The sequence below is a fragment of the Homo sapiens genome, chromosome 8, assembly GCF_000001405.40.
Source record: "Homo sapiens chromosome 8, GRCh38.p14 Primary Assembly".
Lineage (NCBI taxonomy): Eukaryota > Metazoa > Chordata > Mammalia > Primates > Hominidae > Homo > Homo sapiens.
Genome location: NC_000008.11, coordinates 6,518,518 through 6,533,859, shown reverse-complemented (window position 1 = coordinate 6,533,859; position 15,342 = coordinate 6,518,518). Strand labels below are relative to the sequence as shown.

The 15,342-nt window shown below is 40.5% G+C and overlaps 2 protein-coding genes across 19 annotated transcripts in view, besides 1 other annotated feature; one reads left to right on the top strand and one right to left on the bottom strand.

Annotated features, from left to right (window-relative positions):
• MCPH1 (microcephalin 1) overlaps nt 1–15,342 on the bottom strand; it is a 241,882-nt gene that overhangs the window by 114,649 nt on the left and 111,891 nt on the right. The gene's annotated exons all lie outside the window — the stretch shown is intronic.
• The window catches only part of ANGPT2 (angiopoietin 2), a 63,614-nt gene that overhangs the window by 29,386 nt on the left and 18,886 nt on the right, over nt 1–15,342 (top strand). For 2 of the 6 annotated variants that reach the window (NM_001386337.1, NM_001118887.2), the window contains exons 2-5: nt 1,373–1,528; nt 6,184–6,305; nt 12,450–12,682; nt 13,869–13,996. In NM_001386337.1, the coding sequence (NP_001373266.1) occupies nt 1,373–1,528; nt 6,184–6,305; nt 12,450–12,682; nt 13,869–13,996 (639 nt within the window). Of the gene's footprint in view, nt 1–1,372; nt 1,529–6,183; nt 6,306–12,449; nt 12,683–13,865; nt 13,997–15,342 lie in introns of all 6 variants that reach the window. The other 4 variants (NM_001386336.1, NM_001147.3, NM_001386335.1 and 1 more) reach the window with 3 other exon arrangements.
• Nucleotides 4,462–5,661: an enhancer, noted in NCBI's record as "BRD4-independent group 4 enhancer chr8:6385720-6386919 (GRCh37/hg19 assembly coordinates)". NCBI's record gives its function as "activates an origin of replication core promoter dependent on BRD2, P300/CBP, MED14 and CDK7 cofactors, and independent of BRD4, by STARR-seq in HCT116 cells {active_cell/tissue: HCT116}" and the evidence as "EXISTENCE:reporter gene assay evidence [ECO:0000049][PMID:35650434]".

The following is a 15,342-nucleotide window of genomic DNA, read 5'->3' as shown; positions in this document are numbered from 1 at the left end:
AAGACAGAAAGCACAGAATTATTTAGTGGTTAACATTTTGGGGGAAATCATGTCTGATGACTGACTCCACGAATGGTTTCTCTATAAAGAATTCTAAGTTTTTAAAGGAGGGCACCAGAACCAGTTTTATAATCATCTTTCAATTATTCAATGTAATAAACAATGTTTGTTACACTATGTGAAAAGGAAGAAAACATGGTTTGTGCACTCACGAGCTTATACTTTGGACCAGGGAATGGAAGAATGGTTCCCATCATTAGATTATTTAAAAAAAAAAAAAAAAAAAAAAAGAAACTAAACGCTAAGTATCTGGAGTTACGCATACACAATGACTTTAAAAGCACAGCTTAACCCCTCTTTAAGACACTCCTCTGACCAACCAGAAACCCTATTTTACATATGAGGAAACTAGGGTCCCAAAAGGTTAAGCAACTTTCCTAGAACCAAGACTATAAAGCAGAGGGCAGGCTTCCCTGGCTCCAAGCCCAAAGGCTCTTCCCACGTACTCAGTTGTCTTGCAGTTATACATAATCATGTAATTTTACTGCCATAGACAGGGATAGCTATACCAATGGCAGTGAAATGAGCTTCTTCCTTCTCTTGTGTTTCAGTTAATGCTAAAATTAGTCAGCATGATCATCATCTTTAGTAACTGAGGGAGAGAAGAACCAGCCCATGGCACGTTAGGTGATAAATGGACCAAGGTGCGATTAAAAGTTTGCTTGATACATGAAATGACAAAATTGTGAAAAATGCATACATGTTAGGAAAAATTTAATAGGTCGAATTAACTCAATACGGAGGAAGGTGGGGAAGACCCCACAGAATGTGGAACTGAGTGGTGATTCCGTAGGTTAAAAGGAAAATCAAAAGGGTGCTCCTCTCCTTATATGCTGTCTTAGAGTGTCTTCTCAAGTCTATGTGGAGAAACCAAAAGTCTAGAATGTGAGAGAAATAGTGATGCTTCTTTGTGTCAAATTATCATTTCCTGACTGCATGGTCAGAGTTGCAGCTGGGTAGGACAGACACAACCCCACAGTGGCCGCACCCAGCAGTCCCTGTGGCTGCCCTCACCACCCTCTGTGGCCTGCCATGACATGGACTTCTAGAAGAACACAGAAGCAACCAGTAGCTTGTCTCCCTCCTTTACATGATGTGACTAAGTTGCCAGATTTTGCATAAAAATAAAATCACACTGTATTTTCCTAATGATAAAAAAAAATAGTAAGATTCCAAAAGGAAGGCAAGGTACAAGTCTTTTGATAGATTTTTTTTTTTTTTTTTTAAAGATAGGGAGGAGACGACAAACATTTAGGAATCAGGTTTCCGGTCATTTGACTAATGACTGCCTTCTAACACTGTTCTTTTCTAGCTTGAGAATTATATCCAGGACAACATGAAGAAAGAAATGGTAGAGATACAGCAGAATGCAGTACAGAACCAGACGGCTGTGATGATAGAAATAGGGACAAACCTGTTGAACCAAACAGCGGAGCAAACGCGGAAGTTAACTGATGTGGAAGCCCAAGTAAGTAATGCCACATAAAGCACACGGTGTCCCTGCAGCTAGAGACTAGCACTCAGTCGCGTCAGGAGCTTCCTCAATGAAGGCATGAGAAACTAAAGAAAGCACCACCACAGGAGAAAAGGAATGAATTGATAAGAAATTAAGGATGTATGGCTGCTTATGAATTAAAAATCAGTAAATCTGTTTTTGTTTTTAATACTGAGGTTAAATTTCATGTGTTCTATCTACTGAAGACATGTGAGTCATTTTCATGCCACGCATCCCAACCACTGCAAGATGAATACCCCCTCTGTCTCCCTGGTGCTTTCTGGACTCCGGGAATCATTTTCCATTTCTAAGTCCTAAAGTCTTTGAACATTTGAGAAATGAAAAGCACTGAGGCAAAGAGCTAGAAACTCTGGCCTTAAATCTAACTCTTGAGTTAAGATAAAACCTGAATCTCAACAGCTAACACAGCCTGTGGAATGAGTTTATGGAGAAGGAGACAAGTGGGACAGTGAGAAGCGTCTAGCCACAGAAAAGATGGTGCTACGCCCGAGCAAGAGCCCTGAGCGCTGCCATGGCTCCAGGTCCGCCACTAACCAAATAAATGCATCACAATGAGGCACTCACCTTTTCTGGGCCTCAAATAATATAAAGGGTTGGGCCAGACAAGTGATTGCTAAGTTCTCTTTCCACTGTGAGATTCTATGAGCTAGTGATTAATAATAACAGAAAGAAGACTGAAATAGTCAACTAGTGGCCAGGCGCAGTAGCTCACGCCTGTAATTCCAGCACTTTGGGAGGCCGAGATGGGTGGATCACCTGAGGTCAGGAGTTCGAGACCAGCCTGGCCAACATGGCGAAAACCCGTCTCTACTAAAAAATACAAACAAATTAGCCAGGTGTGGTGGCGGGCATCTGCAATCCCAGCTACTTGGGAGGCTGAGGCAGGAGAATTGCTTCAACCCAGGAGGCAGAGGCTGCAGTGAGTTGAGATCGTGCCACTGCACTCCAGCCTGGGCAACAGAGTGAGACTTCAACTCAAAAAAAAAAAAAGAAAGAAAGAAAGAAAGAAACTAGTAAAATAACAGCAAAATAGGAAAATTTCAAAAGAAGAAAATTCACCGAGAGACATGCTAAATGATGCACAACATGTGACCCAGCGAACGGCCTGGGTGGGAAAGGGAAAAGCTGCTATTAGCAGTACAAATGCAGACGCTCCAAGCTCAAGGCCGTGGTCGTGACTCTCGGCGGCCAAGCCCGCTTTCTGACTCCTCATCCTGGCTTCTTTACATGCTTCTGAAGTCAGTGGCTTCCTACTCTGGGCTATAAGGAATACTTTTAAAAAAAGAGCAGATTTAAGTGAAACAATCCCCACTCCATATTATTCCTAAATGCTACTTCAGCAAAAAGGATCAAGAAATGCTAGACGTCAGCCAGGAGAGGACATGAGAGGGGAGATGCCATAAGCCCTGCCACTCTCGTAAGACTCATTCTAGAAGGACACAGCTGTTCTTTCATTGTCTTCCTAAAAATGGTTGGATGAGGTCAGAGAAAACAGTAGTGAAATGATAGATTAACAAAAGACTTACAGATAAGAGAATAGAATAACAAATTACTTGACTACCAGGTCTTTCCACAATATCACAACAGTTCAAGAAAAACATACATAAATATTTTACATAACGGATCATAAGGTACTAAAAATTTAAATCTTAGGAAGTCATAAAAACTAAAGATTTAAAAGTCAATATATCAATATATATCTAAAGCGAATTATTAGGTTGGACCAAAAGTAACTGCAGATTTTGCCATTACTTTTTTTTTTTTTTTTTTTTTTTGAGACAGAGTCTCACTGCATTGCCCAGGTTGGAGTGCAGTGGTGTGATCTCGACTTGCTGCAACCTCCACCTCCCGGGTTCAAGCGATTCTCGTGCCTTAGCCTCCCGCGTAGCTGGGATTACAGGTGCAGGCTACCACACCTGGCTAAATTTCTGTATTTTTAGTAGAGACAGGGTTTCACCACGTTGGCCAGGCTGGTCTCGAACTCCTGACCTCAGGTGATCCACCTGCCTTGGCCTCCCAAACTGCTGGGATCACAGGCGTGAGCCACCGTACCTGGCCACCATTACTTTCAATGGCAAAATTGCACCAACCTATTAAAATAAATTAGTAATGATTAAGTCACATGCCCCACCTTTTGATACTAACACTGATGGGTAATTGAATAGCTCATCCAAAAAATGTCTCATAAGCATTTTTAAACTACAACATTTCTTATATTTTAAAATAATAGTTAGATCCAAGCATGGGAACTTGGCAAAAATTTAAAAAAATAAAAAATAATAATAGTAATGAAAAAGTGTTAGGACAGAGCAGCAATGCAAACCTTGCTACATCCTATAGCGGTCAGAGACTTCATAGCATTTGATGTACTTGTGTTGCGTCATATGATTTAAAAAAAAAACGCCTATTGTGAAACTAGATATCATGTTATCCAGGATAACAGGAAAATAAGAAAACAGATGGAAAGTAAGCAGTTTTTCCATGTGAAGCCCAATTAAACACATGAAAATGGCTGAGCCAGCTGAGCACGCTTGCTCAGATCTATAATCCTAGCACTTTGAGAGGCCGAGGTGGGTGGATCGCTTGAGATCAGGAGTCCGAGACCAGCTTGAGCAACATGGTGAAACCCCATCTCTACCAAAAAAAAAAAAAAAAAAAAATTAGCCAGGCGTGCTTGTGTGCACTTATAGACCCAGTTACTTGGGAGGCTTAGTGAGGTTACAAGAAGTGCTTAAGCCTGGGAGGCAGAGTCTGTAGTGAACAGATATGGTGCCACCGCACTGCAGCCTGGGCAACAGAGTGAGACTCTGTCTCAAAAAAAAAAAAAAAAGAAAAATGGCTGAGCTTAAGGAAGGCCGCAAAGAAACTGAATTATGTACCCACTCTGTTTGAAGGTACTTGCTGAGCAGTTACTGATTTTGTGAAACAGACTTAAATTCAAATCTGAAAATTTCTGATTAGAAGCAAGATTCTCCAAGCCTGTCAGAATGAGAGACGATCAAATTGAGCAACAATGGGTGGCTGGAGGTCTCATATCTTAAAGGGAATGAGAGATCAATACCTGGCCTGGGTAATTTACAGTCCCCTGCAGATGGACGCCTTCAGGCTGGTCCAGCGGTTTGATGCTCTCCAGAAAAGTGATGTGAAAATGGTTACAATTACTACTGGGCCAATCATGACTTATATGCCATCCTTCCCTGCCTCCACACGGAATTTTACTCATGTTATAACCCTTATGAATTAAACAGGACACAATTTTCCAGTTCCTTTTAGAAATAACCAACATAGAATGTTTGGACTCAAAGAAGACGTAGGCCAAATGTATATTCCAGGTGTTAATATTAAAACCCAAACAAAACCTTACGTTGGCCAAGGACTTTATTCTCACAGAAGACTTTTTGTGATAAGAACTAAACCAGCTCTAAGGATAAGACCATCCCTGAAACCCACGCTGTGGACCAGCCAAGGCTCCTGCAAATGACATAAAGACACCAGCAAACAATGATTCTTTCAAGGTCTCCGGTTCCTTGGCAACAATGCTGACTGACATTTGCATGTGATATCACATCCTGAATAAGCATGACATGGAGGAAGTGAGTAGTCGATTCTTCCTGCTGAAGGGCAACCAGGCGCTAGAGAATCCGCGGGAGAGCCGCACTGCTCATGCCACGCAGTAGCTCACAAAGGCCCGCACGGCAAGGCTGAGGCTCCGCTTCACACTCACGCTATACGGCTTCGATTGGTTCAAACAAGTTTTAAAACAGGAAGGAGAAATGGCAAGAAGAAATAAAAGTCTAAACAAGTGGTGACAAATGAGGAAATCCCAGGCTAAAAATTATCTATATTTTTATATAATGGAAGCATGTGACTTCCAATCTCTCTGTCTAGTGACAAATAAATATGAGAATAGCATTTTGTTTTCGGCAAAGGGAAAATACTTTCCACCTATGAAATATGACCATTTTATACTCCTACTTGTCTCATTGTATGAAATAAAATATGGCAGACTAGAAAAATAACATTTAGTATTTGGCACAGACCCCATTGTCCAGAACTACTAACCACTTTCCAAGATAGAGACATAACGGCCGGGTGCAGTGGCTAATGCCTGTAAATCCCAGCACTATGGGAGGCCGAGGCAGGTGAATCCCTTGAGGTCAGGAGTTCCAGACCAGCCTGGCCAACATGGTGAAACCCCATCTGTACCAAAAATATAAAAAATTAGCTGGGTATGGTGGTACGCACCTGTAATCCCAGCTACTGGGGAGAATGAGGCAGAAGAATTGCTTGAACCCGGGAGGCGGAGGTTGCAGTGAGCCGAGATCATGCCACTGCACTCCACCCCGGGCAATGGAGCGAGATTCCATCTCAAAAAAAAAAAAAATAGAGACGTGGGGAAAAGAGTAAAAAGGTTTAACACACTCAGATGTGATCTAAGACATTGAGCCTTTTCTGAAAATGAAAAATATGCCAAAATAAGATACTTGGGTTAATAAATAATGTTTTTGTTATGTTTTCCTGTAGCTTGGGTACTTTAATGAAAAGGAAGTTAGAAAGTTAAACTAATTAAAAAATAATTAATAGGAACTTCATTTTGTTACATTTAGGTATTAAATCAGACCACGAGACTTGAACTTCAGCTCTTGGAACACTCCCTCTCGACAAACAAATTGGAAAAACAGATTTTGGACCAGACCAGTGAAATAAACAAATTGCAAGATAAGAACAGGTAATAACAGTACTAAAACATTTATAATTCAGGACTGCACACTTTCCAGATATGAAAGTCGGTCTCAAATGATGAATTATCAGAATGGTGAGTTTCTTCATGTCTAGTGTAAGGGTCAGAAACCTCATGAGGGAGGAGAAGGGAGAGGGCTTGGAGAAAATTCCTGCACAGGCACAGCTCTCCTAACACAGTCCTGGATTTTACCTTTCATTCCCTGGCCCCTTAAAGATCCTCTTAGAGTAATCCTCCAAACCCTGCCTCAGTATTCTGCATGCTAATCTATTATAAAAATACAGCTAGTGCTGTGGAGTGAAAGAACCACTGGCCCAAAAGATCCTCTTAGAGTAATCCTCCAAACCCTGCCTCAGTATTCTACATGCTAATCTATTATAAAAATACAGCTAGTGCTGTGGAGTGAAAGAACCACTGGCCCAGGCATTTTATTTCAGTATTAACTTGACCAAGATCCTTTGCCCTTGGGGACTTAGCTTCACTCAACGCAGAATGGTCTATAGTATGAAAGCTACACTTATACTGTAAGCCAATGCACATTTTATGATCCAATGTTTCCTCTTCAAACACACGATAAAGTAAAACCAAAAATATTAAACATGATTATATTAATATTTAAATAAAATATAGAAAAATCTCAAGATCAACAATAGAAAAAAAATTGTAGGGGATAGGTGGGGACTGTTTTCATATGTCTGTTCCACTTGGGACAAAAGAGGATAATTTTATGCACATACCTGGTGTGCCTATTTCCTTGTTTTTAATGAAGACATGTATATACAACATGGAACATGGCTATAACAATATATCCTATTTCACAATTTAAATAATTCTTTATTCTTAACCAAAAATGATAAACTTCTTGTTCAATAATTGTTCTTTACTGTTAATCAAGAACTAAGCTGAAATAATTCTTTCTGTCCTTTGGATACCAAGTTTAAGTCATTATTGATTTAGGGTTTTGAAAAGCAAATAGATTTTTAAAATTCAAATATTTTTCTTTCATGTTTCAGATTTCTCCTCTACAAACAGTAAATGAACATTTGAGACCAATCATTGAGATATAACAATCCTGCTAATTTCATTTTCTTTTCTGTGTTTTTTTTTTGAGACAGGGTCTCACTCTGGTTGCCCTGGCTGGAGTGCAGTGGTGCCATCTCAGCTTACTGCATCCTCAACCTCCTGGGCTCAGGTGATTCTCCCATGTCAGCCTCCTGAGTAGCTGGGACTACAGGCATGTGTCACACACCCAGCTGATTTTTTTTTTTTTTTTTTTTTTTTTTTTAGTAGAGGCAAGGTTTTGCCATATTGCCCAGGCTGGTCTCAAACTCCTGAATTTAAGCCTTCTGCCCACCGCAGCATCCTAAAGTGCTGGGATTACAGGCATGAGCCACCGTACCTGGCGTCGTTTTCTTAAAATAGTCTTACTTAGTAATGTTCTCTTCAAAATGCTGCAGTGATTCCTGGAACACATGGGAGCTGGAGATTACTTTTCTCTTGCCTGTTATACAATGATGTCCGTGACAAACCTAGGATATGTCCAGTTTGTAGAACATACCCTAATACTGAATACTGTTTCCCCACTTGGGTTTCAAATTTAGCATGCTACAATGCTAAAACTACCAATTTGGGTCAATTATGTTCCCCAAATATCATCTTTGCAAATATTTTTCCAATCATATTGGCTTTCAACTATGCCTGTAGGAAGAATAAGCTTTTTCTCATCAGCTGTAGAAATCGTATTTTTTTGTCACAGATATGAAAGGAAATAAAAAGGTTTTTTTCATCAACAGCTATAAATAATAAAAAAAGAAAATAGTGTTGATGATTTTACAGGTGTATGAGTTCTGCATGCTGTGTTTTCTACCTTAATTCTGACTGGCCTATGATTTTATTTGCAAGTATATCATTACAAAAATATGCAAATGGTGTTTCACATTGGACAAACCACATTTTAAATAATCTTTTATAATTCCCCAAAAGTGCAATTGCTTTCTTTATAGAATAGATTCAAGCCAGGCACAGTGGCTCATGCCTATAATCCCAGCACTTTGGGAGGCCAGAGTGATAGGATTTCTTGAGGCCAGGAGTTTGAGACTAGCCAGGGCAATATAATGAGAACTCATTTTTACAAAAAATACAAAAATTAGCCAGATGTGGTGGCACACACCTGTAATCCCTCCTATTTGGATGGCTGAGGCAGGTGGATCGCTTGAACCTAGGAGTTTGATACCAACCTGGGCAACAAAGACAGACCCCCATCTCTCCAAAATTACATACTAATTTACAACGATCAGGGGGCTGGAATACATTTAAGAGCTACAATTGAATATCTAATAATTATTATTAATACTGATTGTTATTGCTTATGGGCGAGATATGTAATGGGTAGCCAGTTCCTTGGCTGGTTAATATTGTTTGCAGGGTTAAAGAGTCAGAAAATGTTACTGTCAAAAAAAGGTGGATTTACCAGATCATTCGAACTAAAAGGGGCCCGAGAGGCCATGAAATCGAATGCCTTCATTTTACATAGAGCTTTATTTAGATAGATATTCACCTAGACAGACATGCACCTGAGGTCCACAGCAGGGTGTCTGCCCTTGTGACACAGGAAGCCATGTGCAGAGGTGGGATTCCCAGCCTAAGGCTACTTCCTTTCACCTGAAGGTGCTCGTGACACCAAAGGTGACTTCTCAGGGTCTCCATTTTCTCTTCAGTGAAACCATGATCTTCATATGTATTCCCTGTGATAACTTCTATTTACAGACCTTACATGGCCACAAGGGTAGTTTTTCCTCAAGGGAGACATTCATAGCCTTGTCTTTTTAGCTTGATGATGTGAAGACCATCAAAACATCTAAATTTCCGCAGGCTTAAGACTATGGTTCATGATGCTTTCATTTCTTGATTTTTCTCCAAAACCCTAAAAAACACCTCGTACATGGTAGGTGTTCAATACATCTCTGTTAAACGGAAGGTAAGACGTGATCTGAACCCAACTATCACTCAGTGAAACGTGTATGTCAATTTCACATGCTTTCGGTTCCTAGGAAAGTAAGTGCAAAGTGACTCAGGAGGCTTCAGATAACTCACAGCAGTGTTAAATGGCCGGTTCAAGGTTTCTTTATCAAGCAGGTGGGAAAATAATGTTTCTCTGCTCTTCATATGCCTTCGCAGAAAAGCTAGTGAAATGTATAGAATATTTCACCAGCTTCTAATGTGACATTAACAGAAGCTGTGGTAACTTGTTAGTAGACAGAAAATAATTCTGAAACATAAAGATGCCATCATTGACATATTTCATTATTAAATAAGACAGCTGACTTATACGGGACTCAAAAAAGGGAATATGAGGTCCCCTTCCTTTAAAACAAAACTCTGCAATGTGCAAATTCATGTGTACTAAACTTTATATTGGAAGGAAAATGTCAGAGAGAGGAATCTGACATCTGGTCACTGTTTTTCTATTTTTAAAAGTGTCTATATTTTGAAAGCTTTATTTACTGGCCTTGTACAAACAAAATGAAGATATTGAAACATCTTTAGTTGCTGCTTTTCCTGCAATTATCACAGAAAGCCTCTTTAGGTGCTGAATAATGTAGTGTCAGGCTATCCAATTTTCCTCTTGTATCTTATTAAAAAAAAAAAAAAATGCCAGCCAGGCACGGTGGCTCATGCCTGTAATTCCAGCACTTTGGAAGGCCGAGGTGGACGAATCAGGAAGTCAGGAGTTCGAGACCAGCCTGGACAACATAATGAAACCACGTCTCTACTAAAAATACAAAAAATTAGCTGGGCGTGGTGGCACACCTGTAATCCTAACTACTCAGGAGGCTGAGGCAGGAGAACTGCTTGAATCCGGGAGGCGGAGGTTGCAGCGAGCTGAGATCGCGCCACTGCACAACAGCCCAGGCCACAGCGCGAGACTCCGAGACTCCATCTCAAAACAAAAAACAAAAAACCCTGCCAAATACCTTGACTGTGCATGTCTTTGAGTTTGTTCCTGGGAAACAGTTAACATTCTCAAATACATAGTCTCTACTCTCTTGGATTTGTTTCCTCTGGCTTAATGGACAGGAACTATTTTTAGTTTAAAAGTGGTATGCTCTTCATTGAACATATTTATAGCAATGTATGTTTATAAGTTGAAATTAGGAAGGCAAACTATATAACCATTAATAAAGTATCTTAGGACTTACATGGCATAATTTTACCAGCTCTCTAAATAATTTTTAAAAAGCTTTTCTGCCAGGCGTGGTGGCTCATGCCTGTAATCCCAGCACTTTGGGAGGCAGGGGCGGGCGGATCACGAGGTCAGGAGATCGAGACCACCCTGGCTAACACGGTAAAAGCCCATCTCTACTAAAAATACAAAAAGTTAGCCTGACATGGTGACATGCGCCTGTAGTCCCAGCTACTCGGGAGACTGAGGCAGGAGAATAGCTTGAACCTGGGAGGTGAAGGTTGCAGTGAGCCAAGATGGCACCCTTGCACTCCAGTCTGGGTGACAGAGCGAGACTCCATCTCAAAAAAAGAAAAAAAAAAACTTTTCAAGGGCTTGGCTCACATATTAACTGTTATGTATTAAGTACATGCCATAGCGCTGGTTAGATTTTTTAGAGAAGGAATGGGGCCACATTAAAAGGAGAGAAGCAGATTTCAGAGTCAGAAAGTTCTGGGATTGTATTCTGCCCCTGCCACCTGCTGTGTGTGACTTTAGGTATGTGATTCATTCTTCCTACATTTCTTTTCTTTTCTTTTTTTTTTTTGAGACGATGTCTCGCTCTGTTGCCCAGGCTGGAGTGCAATGGCATAATCTCAGCTCACTGCAACCTCCACCTCCCGGGTTCAAGCAGTTCTCCTGCCTCAGCCTCCTGAGTAGCTGGGATTACATTCATGTACCCCCACGCTTGGCTAATTTTTGTATTTTTAGTAGAGAGAGGGTTTCACCATGTTGGCCAGCCTGCTCTCAAGCTCCTGGACTCTAGTGATACACCTGCCTCAGCCTTCCAAAGTGCTGGGATTATAGGTGTGAGCCACTGAGCCTGGCCCTCAATGTCCCTAAGTTTCAATTTCCTCATTGGAAATGGGAATAATAATGTCTATATTAACGTTAACAAACATTCATTGACTGTTAATGTATGACAGGCGCTAGTCTAAGCGTTTACATTTTTTTTTCTTTTTTTTTGAGACGGAGTCTCGCTCTGTCGCCCAGGCTGGAGTGCAGTGGCATGATCTCAGCTCACTGCAAGCTCCGCCTCCCGAGATCACGCCATTCTCCTGCCTCAGCCTCCAGAGTAGCTGTGACTACAGGCGCCCGCCACCACGCCTGGAGAATTTTTTGTATTTTTAGTGGAGACGGGGTTTCACCGTGTTAGCCAGGATACTCTCAATCTCCCGACCTCGTGATCCGCCCGCCTCGGCCTCCCAAAGTGCTGGGATTACAAGCGTGAGCCACTGCGCCCGGCCAGCATTTACATTTTAAAACCCATTTGTTCCTCACACCAACCCCATGACCTAGGTGATAGTATCCTAATTAACAGGTGAGGACATTAACGCATAGGGTGACTAAGTAAACTGTTCCAAGTCGCAGGGCTGGTAAGCCAGTACTTGAGTCTGGGAGAAGTATTCACCTCCCCATGAAGGAGTATTTCTCACATAGCATTAAGTGCTATTATTATCATTAGGATTAATATTAAAATATAAATAGTTTAGGAGAAAGCTAATATCCTACCCAAGGGTCCAGCCCAGTTGAAACTCTCCCTTCTCAAAAAAGCACTTCATGAGCACTAAGCTTGAAAGAGCAGCACCTTTCTTCTGAGCGCTGCAGCATCTAATACAAAAAACACCCATATCCCACCTATCCTGGACCAGATGGGGTACCTTTTCTTGTGTGTATGCATAAGTCTGCATGTACATACATATATGCTTATACGTTTACATATATACACACATTTATATATCTAATCTTCTCAGCAAGTTTCAGAGATTCCTTAGGGCTCTGGTAACATCATATTACTTTATAACCACTACAATATCTTAACAGAGTACCTTGGAGAAGTAGAAATTCAATAAATATAAAATATTTCATTAGAATAGCCTTCACTAACTAACAATTCTTTTCCTTACAAGTTTCCTAGAAAAGAAGGTGCTAGCTATGGAAGACAAGCACATCATCCAACTACAGTCAATAAAAGAAGAGAAAGATCAGCTACAGGTGTTAGTATCCAAGCAAAATTCCATCATTGAAGAACTAGAAAAAAAAATAGTGACTGCCACGGTGAATAATTCAGTTCTTCAGAAGCAGCAACATGATCTCATGGAGACAGTTAATAACTTACTGACTATGATGTCCACATCAAACTGTAAGTTTACATATCATGCTTTCTTCAGCGTTAATAACCTTTAGTCAGTAAAACACTCAAAAGACTAAAAAATTCTCACCTTTCAGAAAAGGCGCTATTTCTCATATATTTCATATGAAATATCTACCAATTAAAATGAAGGAAGAAGAGAAGGGGAAATATATGTTATACTAATTATTATGAAGCAAACACCCCAAGCATACTTTTGATTCATGGCAGTAAAGAGCCTACTTTTAGTTAGTTCCATCATTAATTAGAAGGATGAGACTGGGCAAATTACTAAACCACAGCCGATATTCATTTATTTAGGTTTTACATGGGAAAAATAATATCAGACCCATGGGATGGCCATTAAGATTAAATGAGATAATACAATGGCACTTAAGAGATGCTAGTTCCCTTATCTTGCCAGGTTCTTAAGCACATTTTGCCTTCCTTATTATTGTTTCACTTTGCAGCGTCTCTTATATATTGGAGGGAAGGGCCAGGTGTGGTGGATCACGCCTCTAATTGCAGCACTTTGGGAGGCTGAGGCAGGCAGATCACTTGAGGACAGGAGTTGGAGACCAGCGTGGCCAACATGGTGAAATCCTGTCTCTACTAAAAATACAAAAATTAGCTGGGCTTGGTGGTGGGCACCTGAAATCCCAGCTGCTTGGGAGGCTGAGGTAGGAGAATCACTTAAACCTGGGAGGAGGAGGATGCGGTAAGCTGAGATGTGTCACTGCACCCCACTATGTCCTCAGTGGGATAATGGCCTGAAGGGGCAGGCAATGGGGTCATGATACAGATAACAGTGTTTAGGGACATTCTTTTTAAATTCTTCCATACTAAGTTTACCCTATTCTGCTCAAGATGAAAGATCTTCAAAAGTAATAATTTAATTTATGTGATTGTGAAGTACTTTCATTACATGTAATTGATCATCAGCAAAGGAAGTTTGGATTATTTGAAGTATTTTAATTACATGGAATTAATGACCAAAAAGTAAGTATTAATCTTTTGAGAATTAAGAAGAAAACAGGCTGAAAGGAAACTTTCTAGAAAGGTTAAAAAAGTGGTACAGCCTTTTGCTTACTTAAGAATTCCAAAGTAATAAAACTCACCAAATGATTGGCTCTTGAAATAACAAGTCTTTGTCTTTTCATGAACTCCGTTTAAATGCCTTACTATTTTTTAAAAGCAGCTAAGGACCCCACTGTTGCTAAAGAAGAACAAATCAGCTTCAGAGACTGTGCTGAAGTATTCAAATCAGGACACACCACGAATGGCATCTACACGTTAACATTCCCTAATTCTACAGAAGAGATCAAGGTGAGGTATTCGTCTCCCCTTACTAACTCCCTGGCTCTAGGCAGGCCACTTTAGTGAGTGAGGAACCAGAGAGCAGAAGTCTCTCCCCAAAGATCTTCCCCAGCCTCACACAGTACAAAGCCATAGTTACTGGGCAGCTACCTCGCCTAGAGTGCTTGCCAAGGGCTCTAAGTGCCGCTGCTGTGCAGAAAATACAAAAGCTGCATATGAATGATGTAGAAATGTCTATCTTATCTTCGGCAAGAAATACATTCTCCTTGCATTTTGCTTGAATAATGCATACTGTCAGTTGTTTTTCCTGAGGTGTCAGACTCATTTCCTTAAAGAAAGTATCTTCCAAAAACTGAAGGTTGAACAACCATAGTGCATCAGCCATAGAGGTGTCATGAAATTAATAATTTCTACTGCTGTGTCAAAGTCATTTTTCAGTGATATTATTGTTCCTTTCTTTTTTGTGTGTGACTGCATAGTGACTTGTACAGTTAGCTACCGCTGCCCTGCCTCACACGGGGATGGTGGCAGTTTTACCCACCATGGTTTTTGCTCTATCTGAGCAAACGCTAACACAGTGCCACAGACCGGTGGTGTCTTAGCATCGTGAAAACAGTTTCAACCTGTGGACTTGGTGACATGGTCTGAGGGACACGCAGGATTCTGAGGTCCACACCATGAGAACCGCTGGGGAAGGCGATTCTAACCTCATCTAACGCAGTCTGGAAGACTCGAAACACACCATAAAGACAGTGTTCATTTTCTTCTCCAGCAGCGGAGTTCACTTCAAGGCATATGTCCAATTACTGCATGTAACGTGAGTGGACAGTCAGTACTCACAGCAGGCAAAGCCACAACACAGCTTACCTCAGTCATTCCTAGTTCTGCAGCCTCACTCAGAGAGCCTGACTCCTGAAGGTGCTTTGGGAGACACTGAACTTTAGATAAGGAAAAAAAAAAACCCTTCCGGAGAATATTTCAATGTGGCTTCTCTTAAACATTTGATAGGGAAGAATGATATTACAGGAGAATCAGTGTGGTGAAGTGTTATGTAACTACTGGATAACTGTATATATTAAATGTCTATAAATATGTTTGCATATAAATGTAAAAGCAGCTACATATTGAACCAACACAAATAACTACAGAGAATACAGTGGATACTGTACCAAAGTGGAAATTTTCGAGGCTCTTGGAAGTATTATCTCTTTAAATTGAGTATTATCCTAAGTATTTAAAACAGTATCAAAGAAAAACACTTTAAAAATACAAGCATTAGGGTTTTAAAGACCTGGAACTTGAAACAGTAACATGTATCTTGATTATGAACGGAAAAGATAAATATTGTGCTATTC